Here is a 19,938-nt window from a genome sequence, read left to right as displayed (position 1 = left end):
ATAATCCCCACGTGTTGTGGGAGGGACAAGGTGGAGGTAATAGAATCATGGGGGCAGTTACCTCCATGCTTTTCACCTGATAGTGAGTGAGTTCTCACAAGATCTGATGGTTTTATAAGGGCCTTTCCCCCAGTTTCGCTCATTCTTCTTCTTCTGGCCACTAAATGAAGAAGGACATGTTTGCTTCCCCTTCCACCACGATTGTAAGTTTCCTGAGGCCTCCCCAGCCATGCTGAACTGTGAGTCAATTAGACCTCTTTCCTTTATAAATTACCCAGTTTTGGGTATGTTCTTATTAGCAGCATGAGAACAGACTAACACAGAGGCTTTGAGAATTTGTATGATTTTTCGAAAGGCAGAATTACCCAATGGCAGAGCCAGGACATGAATCCAGGAGTGACTAATCACAAATTTGTGCTCTGTGCTGAAATAGTATGCCAGCCTCCTTCTCCCTACCAAGTTCACCCATTTTTTCCTACCCTAATTTTTCCTTTTGCCTGGATGTCCTTATCTACTTATTAAAAATTAAGTTGTATCTTGTTATATCTTTTTAGCCAATTTAAGCCCTTTGCAGAAAGAAAGAGAAGTATATATGCTTTTTTTTTTTTTTTTTTTTTTTTTTAAAGCCAAGTGTCTTTTTCAAGGTTATCTGAAGAGAAAGTGTGCTGGTTATGCACACTCCAGATTCTGGAGTCCTATAAGCTGGAGATTAACTTCTGGCTCTCTGTCGTATTAGCTGAGTGATCTATGGTAAAGTTTAAAACTTCAATGTCCGGCCGGGCGCGGTGGCTCACGCCTGTAATCCCAGCACTTTGGGAGGCCGAGGCGGGCGGATCACGAGGTCAGGAGATCGAGACCATCCCGGCTAACACGGTGAAACCCCGTCTCTACTAAAAATACAAAAAATTAGCCGGGCGTGGTGGCGGGCGCCTGTAGTCCCAGCTACACGGGAGGCTGAGGCAGGAGAATGGCGTGAACCCGGGAGGCGGAGCTTGCAGTGAGTCGAGATCGCGCCACTGCACTCCAGCCTGGGCGACAGAGCGAGACTCCGTCTCAAAAAAAAAAATAAAATAAAAATAAAAAAAATAAAACTTCAGTGTCCTTGCTTGTGAAATAGTGAGGTTATTATTACTCATCTCATGGGATTGTTTTAAGATTAAACACAATAATGCCTCTAAAGTGCTTCGCGTTCTGCCCTTTTCATGGAAGGCTCCTGATAACGGTTTGGATCTGTGCTCCCTCCCGAATCTCATGTTGAAATGTAATACCCAGTGTTGAAGGTGGGGCCTGGTGAGAGGTGATTGGATCGTGGGGGCAGTTTCTCATGATTTAACACCATGTCCCTTGGTGCTATCGTCATGGCAGTGAGTTCTCATGAATCTGGGTGTTTAAAAGTGTCTAGCACCTCCCCTCCCCCTTCTCCCTCTTCCTGCTGCTTTGGCCGTGTGAGATGCCTCACTACCCCTTTCCCTTCCACCATGATTGGAGGCTTTCTGAGGCTTTCACAGAAGCAGAAGCCACTAGGCTTCCTATACAGCCTGCAGAACTATAAACAAATTAAAATTCTTTTCTTTATAAATTACCCAGTCTCAGGTATTTCTTTATAGCAGTGCAAGAATGAATTAATATAGCTCCTGATAAAAATTTCCGTTGTTTTTTATGCTTACAGGCAAACAAGATAGTCAGTAAACAGTGTACTAAACTGGGAAAATCAGCCCTGCTTCATTCTAATTTCCACTATAGCTAAGTAATTTCATTTTAATCAATTTTTAAGGCACCAAAATGAGACAACCATTTTTCCAGGTTGAGTGGATTCTTTTTTAATTTTTAATTTTTGTTTTTTGAGACAGAGTCTTTCTCTGTCACTCAGGCTGGAGTGCAGTGGCGCAATCTCAGATTACTGCAACCTCCGCCTCCTGTGTTCAACTGATTCTCCTGCCTCAGCCTCCTGAGTGGCTGGAGCTACAGGTGCGTGCTACCAAGCCCAGCTAATTTTTTTTTTTTTTGTATTTTTAGTAGAGACGGGGTTTCACTGTGTTAGCCAGGATGGTCTTGATCTCCTGACCTCGTGATCCGCCTGCCTCGGCCTCCCAAAGTGCTGGGATTATAGGCGTGAGTCACCGCGCCCAGCAAGTGGATTCTTTAAAATTTATGTCGAAGATGGAAAGAACCAAGGTAGAAGTAACCTGGGTTCCAAGATTTTATTAAGTGCCACGTCAGCCTTGAACTCACTACCTCCGGGCTTCCTGTCCTGGTGAGGGAAATACATTATTATGTAGTTAAAGTAACTGCTATTTTGGTTTTACTCTTTCTTTTAGCCAAACCCATTTTAAACTAACACAGTGGAAACAATTGTGAGCAGGAAAAAGATTTTATGGATTCCAATTATGTTTCGCAATCTGCAAGTCAGCATGAACTGGAATGTCTATTTACTGCGGCTTTTTGTTTCCTAGTTATGATAGTGTTGTATGTCTATCGGATAGAATAGTCTTTTAATTCACAGACAGCACTTATTTTATAGTCAAGAATTGATGGGATTGGGGATAAGCTAGGAAGCACAAATGCAATTTGCTTTTTATGATTTTATCTTATTTTCTATGAATATACATAATTTCCTAATTGTATATTTACACACACATATACACAAATAAATATAAATTTTTGGTTCCCAAATGTATCATTTCCCCAGTTATCAATTTCGTCTGAAATGTGGTGGGCCCTGAACTATGGTAACTATGGTTACCATGTGGTAACCATGTGGTGGGCACAATCCTTTAAATTATACACTTCTCTTATTAACAATTGTTTTTACTGGCAATGAGGAAAAAAATGTGGTACTGGGTTTTTAAAAGACTTCTACAGAATTTTTTTAAATGTTTGGGCTTTACCAAGAACTCATTAAAAAATTGTAATCCTTTTCCTTTCTATATATAGTTGAATGAACACACATACACACACACATGCCACAAAACAAAAACAAAGTTATCCTCACACACAGGATAGAAACCAAACCAAATCCCAACACATGGCAAGATGATAGGCAGGGAAAAGGACACAGTAGCCACAAAGAGCTTTGTTCTTTTTGTCTTCTTTTACCTTCATTACTGTCATCCGGAGTAGTGTAGATGGAAGCCAGGGTAAATAAGGAAAAGATAACAAAAGCCAATAAAATGAATGCCATTTCCAAGTTGGTGTAGGGAAGCTCCATGAACCACCACCGAAAACTTCTTCACCTACAATAGGAATAAAACATGGGCTCAGCATACTCTAATCCAGAGAGAGCTTGCTCAGCAATGATTTATTTTAGAATTCAACATGTGTGAGATTTGCTAAAGCTTGTTAAAATACTTCTGTGTACCTGGAACAATGTATTTGGCAGTGGCAAGAATGGACTGTGCTCTTGTTGTTTTGAAATTTGGCATACAATTTCACTGTGTAGATTGGAAGAGAGCCTAGAAATCTGAATGGTAGAGTCAGTTTACCTTTACACAGCTTTGTGAGTTTTTTGACACAACTCTGGGAATAAAGACAAGGTATGCTGACGTGCAATGAGCACTTAAACGGGGCCAGGCACTTGAAAAAGCTTGAGCTATTACCTCCTTTAATCCTCATAATAACTCTGTAAGTGAGGTACCAGTATTGTCTCCATTTCATAAATGAAGAAACTGAAGCACTAAGATGTAACTTACCTTAAGTTATAAATCTAGTATATGGTAGAGGTGAAATGCCAACTCTGGCAATCTGGTTATAGAATCCTCACTCTTAATCAATATACTATACTGACACTCGACTAACCAACTAACCAACCAACCAACCAGCCAATCAATCCCAAACCCACCATAATGGTTAGGATCATGTTTTGCAAAAGCATTATGTGGATTGATTGGAGAGGAGTTTTTTTTTTTTTTTATACTTTAAGTTTTAGGGTACATGTGCACAACGTGCAGGTTTGTTACGTATGTATACATGTGCCATGTTGGTGTGCTGAACCCATTAACTCATAATTTAACATTAGGTATATCTCCTAATGCTATCCCTCCCCCCTCCCCCCACCCCACAACAGGCCCCGGTGTGTGATGTGCCCCTTCCTGTGTCCATGTGTTCTCATTGTTCAATTCCCACCTATGGGTGAGAACATGCGGTGTTTGGTTTTTTTGTCCTTGCGATAGTTTGCTGAGAATGATGGTTTCCAGCTTCATCCATGTCCCTACAAAGGACATGAACTCATCATTTTTTATGGGAGAGGAGTTTTTATGTTAGGTGGTAGAAGATACAATGGGTTAAGCAAAGGATAATAGAAAGAATTTAATGTCAAGATGAGAGCTTAGTCTTTTTTCAAATGATATTAGAAGATGAATATAAGGTCCTTAGTAGTACGGAGACGTGATGAAGCAGTATTTTGCGAATATTAATGGCATCTCCATGTACAGGAGAGAATGAAGGAAGAGAATGGTAACTGGAAAAAACTCAGAGTGAGTTTTAGCTCTGTGTCAGGATTTTAGCAGGAAGGATAGAGAGGAAGGGATAAAACTCAGAGCCGATTTGATGGAAGGGCAGAAGGATCTTGGTAGCTTGTTGGCCATATGGGGTGCAGAGGGTGCCCCAACATTAAAATGAAGTTCAGGGAGAAAGAGGGGAGACAAAGATCACTGGGAAAAAGAGGCTCCCAGAATCATGTGTGAAATCGGTGGTAGAGAATATTAATTCCTCAAACTTCATTGTGGTTAGTAGAGATGCTGATGCACTCTGACATATTCGGCCATTCATCAATATTTGGAAAATGAATTGATCAAGCTTCTGCTTCTTCAGAGAATATGAAGACTATTAACTCTGCTAAAGCAGCTCAGAGAATACCGTTATTTTTACCGTCAGTTTTCTGTGAGGACTCTTTCTTGAAGAAAAAATAAAAATAAAAACAGAAAAATTTGTGCCATCTAGTGGTTTTTAAGTGCTATAGGTCGGAGAAAGAAGGATGAATTACCCACACTCTCTAAAGATGTTTCATTATACATATGTAGTACCCTGTGCTCATGCAAAATGGTTTCTCCTATTCTCCAGTTTTGTCCTACGCCTAGAATATCAACAGATTTTAAGGTAGTTGTCTTTGAGAGGAGGCAGCTGTTAATGTTTTCTGGACACATAGCTCATGTGTGGTGAGTTCCTGCCTCCTTCCCTTCCTCTGGCAACCTGGTTACAGAATCCTCATTCTTTTTTTTTTTTTTTTGAGATGTACTGTTGCTCGTCACCCAGGCTGGAGTGCAGTGGTGTGATTTCGGCTCACTGCAACCTCTGCCTCACGGGTTCAAGCAGTTCTCTGCCTCAGCTTCCTGAGTAGCTCCTTCCTTCCTCTCTCTCTCTCTTTCCCTCTCTTTCTTTCTCTTCTTTCTCTTTTCTTTTCTTTTCTTTTTTTTTTTTTGTGACAAAGTCTTGCTCTGTTGCCCAGGCTGGAGAGCAATGGCATGATAACAGTTCACTGCAGCCTCGGCCTTTTGGGCTCAAGCAATCCTCTCATTTCAGCCTCCAGAATAGCTGGGGGCTACAGGCATGCACTGTTACGCCCAGCGAATTTTTTGATTTTTTTTGTAGAGACAAGGTCTCATTATGTTGCCCAGGCTGGTCTCAAACTCCTGGGTTCAAGCAATCACCCACCTTGCCTCCCAAAATGCTGAGATTACAGGCATAGCTACCGCCTCTGGCCCTGTGATGAGTTATTTCTAGCTCACTACCCTAGATGCTGCCATTCTAGACAAATAAACGCAAAATAATGGTCTTTGAATTGTCAGTAGAAATTGAAAGCTGGGGGAAAAGACATAGTGGGATAATAGATATTGTCAGACATCTATGATTATGGAACTTGGAACCCGACTACCTTCTTGTCAAATGCTCAGGGCACAGAGCCCTTGACCAGGAGCTCTCCACAACTATGCCCTAAATTCAAGAAGAGGTGATTTCTGCATAAATAAACCAGCCAAGAGTTATTTTCTAAATGCAAAGATGATGCTTCTGATGCCTACACTGTTCCCATTCTTGCATATCCTTGATGGAGCATCTGAAGAACAGTTGGTTGTACAGCCTGCATTTCTTCCTGGGTTGTGTATCTGTAGTCTGTTCTCTGGACATTTTCTCCATCTCAGCTTACTTGGTGCAAAAATGTATCACTTGTTCCCCACAGCTTCTCTAAGGGTTAGGACCAACTGAAATTATTATCTAGTAACAGATAGTAGGTAAATCATATTATTTTTGTATGATAAAAATTAACGTAACTCCTTTTATCATATATTCTATCACATTTAAGCTTATCTAAGCTTAGTTAAGTTAAATCATTTACTAGTGACTAAAGCCTGGTTACCTTGATATGTCATTATTTCTTAGATAATTTAGGAAACAGATTAAATTCAGATGGTCATTAGACTATCCCGACCCTACCATTCTGTATTCCTACTATCCTTTAGCATCACGAAGGGAATGATCTTTATAAATGTAAATCAGATCCACTCCTCTTCTACTTAACTAGCCAATGGCTTCCCTTGGAGTAAAATTCAAACTCCCAGTTCTTCCCTACTAGGCCCCCATCACCTACCCCACATCCCGTCTGATGGTAGCATGTGTGACAGTTTGCATGCTCCTGCACTGACCTTGCTTGTGTTCCTTGCCCTGCTAAGCTCATCCTGTCTTCCTCCTGCCTGAGAATCTCCTCTACATTCTCATTGTCTACTTTCTCTGTGTCTTCTCTTCAGTTCAAGCACCACCTCCCCACAGAGGCATTTCTTGACTTCTAATCTAAGCCAAGTTCTCAGCAGTTTTATTTTCATCACAGCTATTCTCCATTGCATTTTTCTTCTTTTTTTTTTTTTTGAGATGGAGTCTCACTCTGTCACCAGGCTGGAGTGCAGTGGCACGATCTCAGCTCACTACAACCTCCGCTTCCCGGGTTCAAGCGATTCTCCTGCCTCAGTCCCCCGAGTAGCTGGGACTACAGGTGTGTGCCACCACGCCTGGCTAATTTTTTGTATTTTTAGTAGAGATGGGGTTTCACCATGTTGGCCAGGATGATCTCAATTTCCTGACCTCGTGATCCGCCTGCCTCAGCCTCCCAAAGTGCTGGGATTACAGACGTGAGCCACCGTGCCTGGCTACATTTTTTTGTTATTGTTTGTCTGTCTTTCCCCATTAAAGTTCTATGAAAGCAGTCTGCTTTGTTTATCTCCGTACCTATAGGGCTTAGAAAAATGACGGGCATATAGTACATTTTCCCATAAGTATTCACTGAGTGACCATAAACGAGTGGATGCAAGCAGCACCGAAGAAGGCAAGTTGATGCAAAACTCTGAATTTCACAGCTGTGAATGGAAACTCTGGATTGAAGATGTATTTGGAAATCTCAGCGGCATCAAGCACTCTATTACTTGAGAAAATCCCACCCAGAGGACAAGAAGTATATTTTGAAAATGGCTTTAAGGTTTCCATAAAACAGGCAGCATGGTTGGGATTGATGGTTTTTCTTGCTGCTGTTATTGCCCTCACGGGGGAGATGTGTTTCTTTTCCTTTGTTACTTTATTTTTCTGTCTCATGGCTGCTGACAGAGCTCACTGCTCTCTTTGTGCACCATCCGTTCATTCTCTCGCGGCTCCCTTGAGTGCTGTTATGATTGCTCGGGGACAGCATGGAACATGCTCTTCTTATTGAGTCTCCTTCCTATTGTAGATGCTGTGTGCATGCATCAAGGGCCAAGGGGACTAGGTAAAATGACTGCCTTCATCTAAAGAAAAATCTGCCAGAGTAAAAATAAAGGGCTTATTTACAGGAAGTAAATGCACTTTTCTGGGCAGTGGGAATTTAGTGTTTTGAATTCTTATAGCCTGCTACATTAGAAAACTATGGGCTGAAAAAAATCTGTGAGATACTGCAGTGCCCACTCCCCCCTTGCCTTCAAAGGCCTTGTGGAAAAAGTCTAAAGGCTACTAACCAACGTGCATGCCACTTCTGTTGCTTCCTGGATTTATCTGCCTTTTTTTTTTTTTTTTTTCTGAGACAAAGTATCCCTTCCTTCTTTAAAAATTCTGAACAAGACTCACCTGCTGCATTGAATGCTTATCTAATTTAAATAATCTGAAACCAGTGGCACTTTTTTCCGTTTTATCTGTAGGAGGGTGGTTCTGTCATGGTGTAAATCCTGTCTACTAAACAAAGCCTTGAATTATCCCGTCCATCTGTGAAATGCCAACAACGCTCATTAGTCTCTGCATATGGTTTCTGAATTATGTATTCACCTTGAAGGCTCATACAGGCAGAAAACTGTTTTTCTTATTTACTCCCTGACACCAAGTACTTGGCAAATCACGCTTGCTGAATGACAAATGATGTGTCCCAGCTCCTGTCAATGCTGTTCCTACTTGACATTTCAACCTGCTACATGTCTCTTTGATTTTCTCAATCTTTCTTTTTGGATGGATCCTCTATCATGTTGCCTTCCTCTGTTTCTTTGGGCAACTCCATGTCTCAAGTCTTCTTCTGGTCAAACTCTGAACAAAAAGCCATCTTGTCCTTGAGAACTTTCCTCCAAATAAAATTTCAGGTTTGGAAAGAAAATCAAAAATCACCTTGTCCAGACACCATACAATGATTGAATTTTCCCTAAACTGTTTTGGTGAAATAGATGGCCAGCCTGAATTCCTCTAGTGATGAGGAACTCACTGTCATTGGAGGCAATCTGTTTAATCTCTGGATAACCCTGCTCTTTAGAAAACTCTATATCAGCTAAAATTCTGTTCTTTTTAACTATTACCATGTGATTCCTAAATACAGAACTAAAAAGTTCTCCTTTTATGAGAGGGATCCTCAAATATTTGAAGACCAGGAATTTGTCATGTTGCCTGGGCTTTCTTTCCTTTGTCTAGACAAATATTCTTCTTATGACATAATTCTGTGTCCTTTGTCCCTTTTGATTTCTCTCCTTTACTTCCAAATCCCTCTAAAGTGGAGTAACCAAGCTGAAGGCAATATTTTGAATTAGGTTGACTGGATTCCAGTAAGGCAACAACAGCACCCACCACATTTTTTTCTATTTTTTTCTTTTTTTTTTTTTGAGATGGAGTCTCGCTCTGTCGCCAGGCTGTAGTGCAGTGGCGCGATCTTGGCTCACTGCAACCTCCGCCTCCCAGGTTCGAGCAATTCTCCTGCCTCAGCCTCCCGAGTAGCTGGGACTACAGGCACACGCCACCACGCTCAGCTAATTTTTGTATTTTTAGTAGAGACAGGATTTCACCATGTTGGCCAGGATGGTCTTGATCTCTTGACCTCATGATCTGCCCGCCTCGGCCTCCCAAAGTGCTGAGGTTACAGGTGTGAGCTACTGTGCCCTGCCACACCCACCACATTTTAACTCAATGGTCTGCCAATGGTCTGGTTGCCGGTCAGGCCTCATTTAAAAAAACATATAGGGCAATCCATGCCTCCAATGATAGTGAGTTCCTCATCACTAGAGGAATTCAGGCTGGACAGCTATTTGACCAAAACAGCTTAGGGAAAATTCAACAATTGTTAGTTTTCAATTTATTTAATATCACTTTCTGAGTTTCTAAAGGATGATTTAAAAATTACAGTTATTAATTTTTGTGATTATAAATATACTATTATAAATAATATGTTGAAGAATTTTGGAAACTAAAGATAGATATAGCACTTCCTATCTACCGTTATTTTTCTTATCTCACAGAATGTTTGAAGATTCCTTTGGCTTTATGTCAACCACAAGGTTTTTTCCTCCCAATTTTATTGAGGTATAATTGGCAAATAAAAATTGTATACAGTTAGGGTGTACAACTTGATTTTTTCATATATACACACACCCACTAGGTTAATAAGCAGGTATTCTATGCCTTCTTTTAAATCTTTGGCAAAAACATTGCCTGAAACAAGGTTATCTTTTCCATAAGAACAAGCTAAATGTACTGTGATTGTTGAATTTGCTTAATCTGTAAGCTTAGGAGACTGATTTTCAGAGTTTTAGGGAGGATCACATGTGAAATAAAGAACTTTGAACAGTGTCTGGCATTTGGTGAATGCTCAATCATACAGTCATTGAGATTCATCCCCTTTTCTGTGTCACTAGAAATTCTGAAGTTTAATTCACTATTGCAGATTTATTCTTTAAAAAGTTTTTTTCTTTAATTTTAGCCTGAATTTCTATTTGGTTCATTTTTAAAAATTCCGAGATGTAAAATGTCTTTTAAAAGACATTCTCATCCTTCCTGATGTACACTTTAGTTTTCAATTTATTTAATAACAATTTCTGAGTTTCTAAAGGATGATTTAAAAATTCCAGTTATTTTTGTGATTATAGATAATATAACATGTTGAAGAATTTTGGAAACTAAAGAGAATAGGAAATAGGAAATAAAATCAGGGAAGGGTTTGTGTTTTTATTTTGATATTCTCATTTAATGAATTGAATTATTGAGGCAATGGGCATTTATAAGGTTGAAAGAAGCATTGCCAAATTTACAAGTCTCTAAAGTATAGGTTTACTAAAGTTCTTTTCCCCTTCATAAGGGTATATACACTGTATATAATGTTGTGAATAACTTTCATTTTTTTCTTTATGTCTTTTGTCTTTAACTAGATATTCATCCCCTAAGCAAAACAATCAGAATTCTTTTGTGCTTGAAAAATATTAGATCTCCAAAGTCACTTTAACTTGGAGTCATTAGAGCTTTATTTTTGCCCAAGGAGAGCATGAATTCAGGTATCTTTAGGTTTTCCCCTTTGCATGTTCTTCAAAGCGTTTCATTCTTCTAGGCAGAGTGGAATCACATAAACTCACCCACAACTGTGTAGCTCCGATGCTTTCAATATGATAGATGAAGTGTGCACTGAATATAAGCAAGTGTTCTGTACATTGTTTTATAGCAGCATTGTGCGCTCTGATTAGATACTGAACACTTTCTTTCTTTTTCTTTTTCTTTTTCTTTTTTTTTTTTTTTTTTTTTGAGACAGAGTCTTACTCTGTTGCCCAGACTGGAGTGCAGTGGTGCGATCTTGGTTCACCGCAACCTCTGCTTCCTGGGTTCAAAATATATATATATTTTAGTATTTTTAGTAGAGATGGGGTTTCACCCTGTTGCCCAGGCTGGTCTTAAACTCTTGACCTCAAGTAATCTGCCTGCCTCGGCTTCCCGAAGTGCTGGGATTATAGGTGTGAGCCACCACGCCTGGCCAGATATTGAATACTTTCAATCATTTGATTGAATTAAACATTTATTCAGTCATCTTGGTTGAATTAGGTATTTGTTAAAATAGAAGAAGGCTTTACTTAGAACATTATACCTTATTCCCAATTCCTTGACTTTCTGTTGATGTTAGGTATATCTCCAGTCTTTAGAATCCCTAAAATTTTGCAGAGATTATTCTGTTTTTGCCCATGCTTGTTATCCATTTAAAGGAAGATATATTTATAGTCCCCTTTCAGTCATAAGCTTCACACCCCAAAGTTCCTATTTAAAGTTGCAAGCAGTTTCCCATTTCACAACCACTAGACCCTGTAGAGTGAGCTCTGTGTGAGCTTTGGGGGTGGTGGCATGTGGAGAGGTGAGGTGACTCTTTCACGTTTCTCCTCCCTCCTGCCGACATTGGCTGAGCTAGCAGGAGCTCTGGAAGTGGGAGGCAACGCAAAGCATCAGAGACCTGATTATTTATTTATTTATTTATTTATTTATTTATTTATTTATTTGAGGTGGAGTCTTGCTCTGTCGCCCAGGCTAGAGTGCAGTGGCAGGATCTCGGCTCACTTCAACCTCCCCTTCCCGGGTTCAAGCACTTCTCTGTCTCAGCCTCCTGAGTAGATGGGATTACAGGCACTAGCCACCACACCTGGCTAATTTTTTTTTTTTGTATTTTTAGTAGAGATGGGGTTTCACCATCTTGGCCAGGCTGGTCTTGAACTCCTGACCTCGTGAGACACCCTCTTTGGCCTCCCAAAGTGCTGGGATTGCAGGCGTGAGCCACAGTGCCCAGCCAGAGACCTTATTAAACTGAGTCTTATGAACAGGGTGGAGATTACCTGTTGCAATCCAGGTATAACTATGATGGTGGGCCACTGGGCTGCTGGACAGTAGAATTGACCCAACTCTTTGCAACTACAGACTCTACTGTAGGCATGAGGAATTGACTATGGCTTCTTTTATAATGTGAAACAGTGTTGTAATTTCTATTTTGCTAGGTTTCAAAGGGCAGAAACTGTAACTACCTCGCCAAGGTTCAAAGGTGATTTATGAATTTTTTTAAGATAAGGATGAATGACTCAGTAATAGAATTAAGATGATTATGTAAAGAATAAAAATCAATTCAAGAAAATTGTTCTATTTGTTTCCTAGAATTCTTAAATTGTTGATTTACTTCTTCATAGTAGAAAGACTATTTCCCTGATAAAGTTATGCTATGGCATAAAGATAAATTATTAGTAAATCCTGTGATTTTCTTTTAAATGAAAAATTCACACTCAAATACTACTATATTTGAAAATATGGTTGGTTTCAAAATGGGAAGAATAACCAAAGCATTTAATTCTTTGGCTTAGAATGGCAATAAAATATTTATCATAGATGGGCAATTGGCTTTGAGAAAATATGTAATATTTCTAAACTTCAAGAAACTTAAGAGATTTCACTGGACAAAGATCTCATGCATCCTTGGACTTGTACATACTATTTCTCAAACTTAATGTGTTTAAAACAGAATTCCTTCTTTGTCTCACCCCCTTTATTTCCCTTTTCATTGACAGTAGCTCCATGTTTCTAGTTGTTCAGGATAAAATCCTCAAAGTCATCCTTGACTCCTATCTTTCTTTCACAGTTCATATCCTCTTCTTTCAAGAAATCCTATTGGCTTTATCTTTTTTTTTTTTTTTTTTTTTTTAGGTGGAGTCTCACTCTTCTGTCCAGGCTGGAGCATAGTGGCGTTATCTCAGCTCACTGCAACCTCCACTTTCCAGGTTCCAGTGATCCTCCCACCTCAGCCTCCTGAATAGCTAGGATTACAGGCGCCCACCACCACACCTGGCTCATGTTTGTATTTTTTTTTTTTTTAGTAGAGTTGGGGTTTCACCATGTTGGCCAGGCTGGTCTTGAACTCCTGACCTCAAGTGATCCACCCGCCTTGGCCTCCCAAAGTGCTGGGATTACAAGCATGAGCCACCAGGCCTGGCCCCTATTGGCTTTATCTTCAACATACATTCAGAATCCCACCACTTCCATTGCAACCACCCTGATTTGAAGCACTACTACTCACAAGGTTTAATGAAATAGGGTCTTAACTGATCTCTCAATGTCTCCCTTTGCTTTTCTTTCTACCCTTAAGACAGCATTTTAAGATTGTAAGGCATACTACATTGCCTATCTAGTCAACACTCTATTATGGCTCCTATTTCACTCAGATTAAAAGCCAGTATCCTTGCAAATGTCCTGTTGGAAGACCCTAAATTATCTGGTCCTGCTTTGTCTCTGACTTTCTCTCCTACTTTCCTCCCCGTCATTTCCTCCATTCTAGGTGCACTATCCTCCTGGCTTTTGCTCCTTCACTCCAGGCATATTTCCACCAGAGGGCCTTTGTACTGGCTATTCTCTTTACCTGGAATGCGCTTCTCTGGAGACCTGAATGGCTTACCCTCTTACCTCCTTCAAGCCTTTGCTCAGAGGTGTTACTTTCTCAGTGTGGTCTACTCTCACCCTCATATTAAAAGTTGGAACTCCCCGCAGTCTCCTTAGCCTGCTTTGTTATATTTTTGCAAAGCAATTATTACCTTCTAATCTTTACTTATTTATTGTATTTATTGTTTAGTATAATAGAATTTAAGCTTCATGAGGGCGAGGATTTTTGTGTGTTTTGTTTGCTGAGCCTAGAACAGTGCTTGGAATAGTACCTGGCTAGATATTTAGCCAGGAGGAGCTCAATTAGTATTTACCAATATGATTCAGTGAATGAATGAATGAATGAATGAAGATCTAATGAAGTGGATACAGATTTGCCTGGTGGAATGATACCTCATTGATAGGGATATCTTTAGGTCACTATAAAAATAAATTTGATAGGGAGTTTAGTTAAATGGAAAAAGCTTACCCATTCGAGTCATACCTGATTCTAGCCCCTGGCACTTACAGATATAGTTTTTGTATTTTTGACATAAGAATAATATCTATTCTCAGGGTTGTTGTGAGGATTAAATTAACATATGTAACATACCAAATAAAGTAACTGATACATTGTAGGACCTCACAAAATGATAGCTATTATTATTAGCAGTCTCCTTTTCCATGGAAAGATTGTGAGGAGCTCTCACAAGATGAGTGCATTCTATCAAACACTTAAGGAAAAAAAAGTTTACATAAAATCAGAAAATAGAGGCAGAGGAAATAATTCCTAATCATTTTATGAGGCCTGGATTAGTTCTGATATCCAAAACTGGCAGACATTACAAAAACAATAACAAAAGTAAATTGCGGACTAATATTCTTAATGTACATAAACACAAAAATCCTAATAAGATGATAGCAAATGAAATCCAGCAATGTACATAAAAGGATACTATAATGAGTAAGCAGGGTTTATCCCAGGGTCGGCTTAACATTTGGAATTCAATCACTGTAATGTTCTCTATTAACAGAATAAAGCAGAAAAACTACATATATGAGGCAGGGCGCGGTGGCTCATGCCTGTAATCCTAGCACTTTGGGAGGCTGAGGCGGGCAGATCACGAGGTCAGGAGATCGAGACCATCCTGGCTAACACGGTGAAACCCAGTCTCTACTAAAAATACAAAAAAAAAAAAAAAAAAAAAAAAAAAAAAAAAAAAAAAATTTGGCCGGGCGTGGTGGCGGGCGCCTGTAGTCCCAGCTATGCTGGAGGCTGAGGCAGGAGAATGGCGTGAACCCGGGAGGCGGAGCTTGCAGTCAGCCGAGATCACGTCACTGCAGTCTAGCCTGGGGGACAGAGCGAGACTCCGTCTCAAAAAAAAAAAAAAAAAAAAACAAAAAAAGGAAAACTACATATATGGTCATTTCCATAAATACTGACAAGGCATTTGAAAAAAATTAACACTCTTCATGATAAAAATGCCCAGAAAGGTGGGAATGATCTTCCTCAATTTAATAAAGGACATGTATGAAAAACTTAGAGCTAACACCATACTTAAAGGTGGACTATTGAATCCTTTGCCCCGAAGCAACAATATTTACTTCAGTCATTTCTATCCAACTTACACTGAAGGCTTTAGCCAATGCAATAAAGTTAGAAATAAAAATTTAAAAGCCTAAAGAGCACAACTTAATAAGTAAAACAAACTCTATTTTTAGATGATATGATTGTTTATGTAAAAAATCCTAAGAATTTTACAAGGTAACTACTAGAATTTAGTAACATCTTAGGATACAAAGTCAATATTGAAAAACCAATTGCGTTTCTATATATTGGCCTCAATAATTGTAAAATAAAACATAATAATTATATTTTAAATAGAATTCAACAATTTAAAAATAAATTAACAAAAATAGAGAAGATATATACACTTAAAACTACAAAACACTTCTGAGAGAAATAAAATATCTAAATAAATTGAGAGATATACGATATTTTATGGATTGGAAGACTCAATATTGTTAAGCTTCCCAGATTAACCTATAAATCCAAGGCAATTATAGTCATAATCTTATCATGCTTTTTTGTAGAAATTGATAAGCTGATCCTAAACTTTCTAAGGAAATGCAAAGGCTGCACCTAAACTTTTGAGAAAGAACAAAGTAGGAGGACTCATACTACCTGACTTCAAGACTTACTATAAACTTTAGTAATCAAAAGAGTGTAGTATTTGTGTAAGTGGTGACAAATAGATTAGTAGCACTAAATAAAGGGTTCAAAATTAAGATCGACCCTTTATGACATTTGATTTCCTACAAAGCTCCAAAGCAATTCAGTAATGAAAAGAAAATGTTTTTTTGAAAACAGTGGTGGAACGATGAGACATTTATAGGAAAAAAAAAAGGAACTTCTATTTCTGCTTCAGCAACATATGAAAAATAAATTCAACATAGTCTTAGAACTGAATGTAAAAGCTAAAACAGTAAGACTTCTAAAAAAAAAAGCATAGTGGAGTGTCTTTACAACTTAATGGTAAAAAAAAGACTTTTTAAGATAGGACATGGAAATTAATAGCCAAACAAAAATTTGTAATTAGACTTTTCATCATAATTTAAAGGTAGTGCTCATCAAAATGCATCATTAACAAAATGAGTAGGCAAGGCTCAGATTGGGGAGAATATTAACAAAATGCATATTTGACGAAGAACTTGTATCAGCAATACATACTTATGAAAACTCCAACTCAATAACAAAAAGACAATCCAAGTTTTAAAAAAATGGCCCAAATATTTGAATGGACATTTCACAAAGGAACATATGCAAATGACCAATAAACCTAAGAGAAAATGCTTAACGACATTCATCATCAGATACACGCAAATAAAATCACAATAAGATAGCATTGCCTAACCACTAACATAGCTAAAATCAAAGCCAAAACCCTAAGAGTGGCAAAGATGTGTAGTAACTGAAATGCTCATACAATGTTAGGGTGTTAAAATGATACAATTCCTTTGAAAAAAATCTCTGGAAGTCTTTTATAAAATAAACTATAACTACAGTATGACCTAGAAGTTCCACTTCTGGGTATTTACACAACAGACTGAAAACATATGTTCAGAGAAACACTTATCTCCCATAGCAGGCTTATTCATACTAGCCAAGAATTGGACAAAACTCAGGCGTCCATTGACAAGAGAATGGATACACAAATTACATATTTACATAATGGAATCCTACTCAACATTAAAAAGAACGATTTTGTGATACATACAAGACAAATGAATCTGAAGAAAACATTGAACATACATACTATGTAGAGAGGAAGATTGTTTACATCTGGAGGCAGGGGTAGAACTTGATTAGGTAAAAGGAAAGAGCATTCTAGATCTGGAGCCATATTGATGTTCTCTATATCTTTTTATTTGTTTATATTATTATTATTTTTTTTTTGAGACAGAGTCTCGCTCTGTCCCCCAGTCTCGAGTGCAGTGACGTGATCTCGCCTCACTGCAAGCTCCGCCTCCCAGGTTCATGCCATTCTCCTACCTCAGCCTCCTGAGTAGCTGGAACTACAGGCGCCCACCACCACACCTGGCTAATTTTTTTTGTATTTTTAGTAGAGACAGTGTTTCACCATGTTAGCCAGGATGGTCTTGATCTCCTGACCTTGTGATCCGCCTGCCCCAGCCTCCCAAAGTGCTGGGATTACAGGCGTGAGCCACCGCACCCGGCCTATTATTACTTTTTAAAGTTTCCTTTTTAAAGAAATTTTACTTTAAGTTCTGGGATACATGTGCAGAGATGTTCTCTATATCTTGACGGGGGTTTGGATTACATAGATGTACATATCCATTAAAATTCATTGAATCATAACACTAATGATTTGTGCATTTCACTCTAATTGAATTTTATCTCAAGAAAATAGTTAAACAAATATTGACTTCTAGTTAGTGATATACTTTCCTAAATGTTTAGGGGTAAAGTTTACTGAGGTCTTCAACTTTAAAAGGTATCATAAAAATAAAGAAGGTGAATCAGTGGACGTACAGAGAGATGATAATATGTAAAGAAGCCAATATAGCAAAATGCTAATTGTACAATCTACATGGAAGGCATTTGGATGTTCATGATACAATTATTTCAATTTTTCTCTATGTTTGAACAATTTTCATAACAACGTGTTGGGAACTAAAAGGCTTTGCTACTACTGCATTCCAAAGAATTTTTTAAATTGTTGATGATGTAATTGCTAGTCTCTGTCCCACCAGAGACTGGTGTGAAACTGGGTGTGTTTTTTATATTTTATCACATGGGACAAAAGGCAAATCAATAACATCAGTTTCATTCAATTTCAATTTTCAAGGCATATCCCATAATACTTCAGCTCAGATTTGCAGGTTGAATATCTAGAACAACACAATGCTGGCCACAGATTTCCCTCCCCTCCCCTCCCCTCCCCTCCCCTCCCCTCCCCTCCCCTCCTCTCCTCTCCCTCCCTTCCCCTCTCCTCCCCCCTCCTTTCCTCTCCTTTCCTTTCTGTTTGAGACAGAGTCTCCCTCTGTAGCCCAGGCTGGAGTGCAGTGGCGTGGTCTCAGTTCATGGTAACCTCCGCCTCCTGGGCTCAAGTGATTCTCCTGCCTCAGCCTCCCGAGTAGCTGGGATTACAGGCACACACCACCGTGTCCAGCTAATTTTTGCATTTTTAGTAGAGACAGGGTTTCACCGTTTTGGCCAGGCTGGTCTTAAACTCCTGACCTCAAGTGATCTTCCTGCCTTGGCCTCCCAAAGTACTGGGATTACAGGCATGAGCCACCGTGCCTGGCTGTGGCTGTGGATGATAGAAAAATATTTCTAATTAAATTAAATCATACGACTTCACTCAGTTCTTATACTTTTCTACTGCTGAAAATATGATACCATATTTTGGTGAAAGCAAGAAATAATTTCAAAGGAAATATTTTTAAGGGATGTAGTTAAATAATTATTTATTTTAAGTTTAAGGCTAAAAGCAGATAAATGACAGTATTTCCTCCTGAGTATTTCTAAAGGCTTTTAATAACATAAATCTGATGATAGAAAAATATTTCTATCATACTCAGGAGGAAATACCGTCATTTATCTGCTTTTAACCTTAAACTTAAATAATTATTTAACTACATCCCTTAAAAATATTTCCTTTGAAATTATTTCTTGCTTTCACCAAAATATGGTACCATACTTTCAGCATAGAAAAGTATAAGAACTGAGTGAAATCGTATGATTTAATTTAATTTGGTTAATTCTACCTTGGAATTAAATACAAATACATATCTTCTGGCTTTGGAAAAAAACAAAACTAGGACAAATAAACCAAACATAGCAAAAGAGAAGAAAAATATTCTGAGGGGGAGTTGTTCTACAAAACAGAAAATTTTCCTTCCCTCTTTAGCCATTTTTTTTAACAGCAAAAAAAAAAAAAAAAAAAAAAAAATACCTCCAGGAAAGAACAATAAGTAAAATTTCTTAGCTGTGGCAGTTAAATATTACATTTCTAGTCCATATGAATTAGTTAAAAAAAAAAAAGAGAGAGAGTTTTGAGGTAAATAAAATAGGGGATTTATAAAAACTTACCAGAAGCATTCCTGTCCCTGAGAGTGGCTAGGAAGGAACCCGTGAGTCTGATTCAAACAGAGTCTTCAGTGTCTTGGGATTCGGGACTGAATGGCCTGTGTCTGTTAATGAACATTTTCACTGAACGCTACCAGGCCATGAAAATGTAGGCACTTCCTGATGCCACTTCACTAACCAAGGCTTACTAATGTCTTAGCTGGAGTTTTAATCAGGACTTGACTAAGAGGAATCTGTACCTCTAAAAAAGAAAATCTTCCCTTGTGAAGGATCAAGAAGGAAACAGGAAACTGTAATGAAACGTAGTTATTTACTTTTTCTGTCACCCAACCATCTGTAAATACCACTACTATACACAGTTCTGAGCAAACAAAGATTGTGCTTTGGCTGACAGTCAAGAAATTCAACAGGTGGTTTATAGGAGTGACGTGTCTGAACATAGGTCAATTTCTATAGTATTCTTTAATGTCTTTAGTGATAACAGGCAAGCCGAACACGAGAGTTTGATAAACAATTTTCAACCATAGTTTATCTTGGGACTTCACAGCTACTTGTCAGCTTTTGTCTTCGGTTTTTTTTTTTGAGACGGACCCTCGCTCTGTCACCCAGGATGGAGTGCAGTGGTGTGATCTCAGCTCACTGCAACCTCTGCCTCCCAGGTTCACGCCATTCTCCTGCCTCAGCCTCCTGAGTAGCTGGGA

The 19,938-nt window shown here is 38.7% G+C and overlaps 1 protein-coding gene across 1 annotated transcript in view; it reads right to left on the bottom strand.

The window, feature by feature from the left end:
- Positions 1–19,521, bottom strand: part of SMIM31 (small integral membrane protein 31) — a 49,665-nt gene extending 30,144 nt beyond the window's left edge. Inside the window, exons 1-2 of the mRNA NM_001352885.1 lie at positions 19,241–19,521; positions 3,097–3,233 (exon numbers count right to left, since the gene is read on the bottom strand). Of these exons, the coding sequence (NP_001339814.1) occupies positions 3,097–3,208 (112 nt within the window). The 5' untranslated portion in view covers positions 3,209–3,233; positions 19,241–19,521. The remainder of the gene's footprint in view (positions 1–3,096; positions 3,234–19,240) is intronic.
- Between the last annotated feature and the right edge of the window lie 417 nt (positions 19,522–19,938).

This window comes from Homo sapiens, chromosome 4, assembly GCF_000001405.40.
Source record: "Homo sapiens chromosome 4, GRCh38.p14 Primary Assembly".
Taxonomy (NCBI): domain Eukaryota; kingdom Metazoa; phylum Chordata; class Mammalia; order Primates; family Hominidae; genus Homo; species Homo sapiens.
Note: the sequence above shows the minus strand (reverse complement) of the source record. Positions and strands in the feature narration are given on the sequence as shown.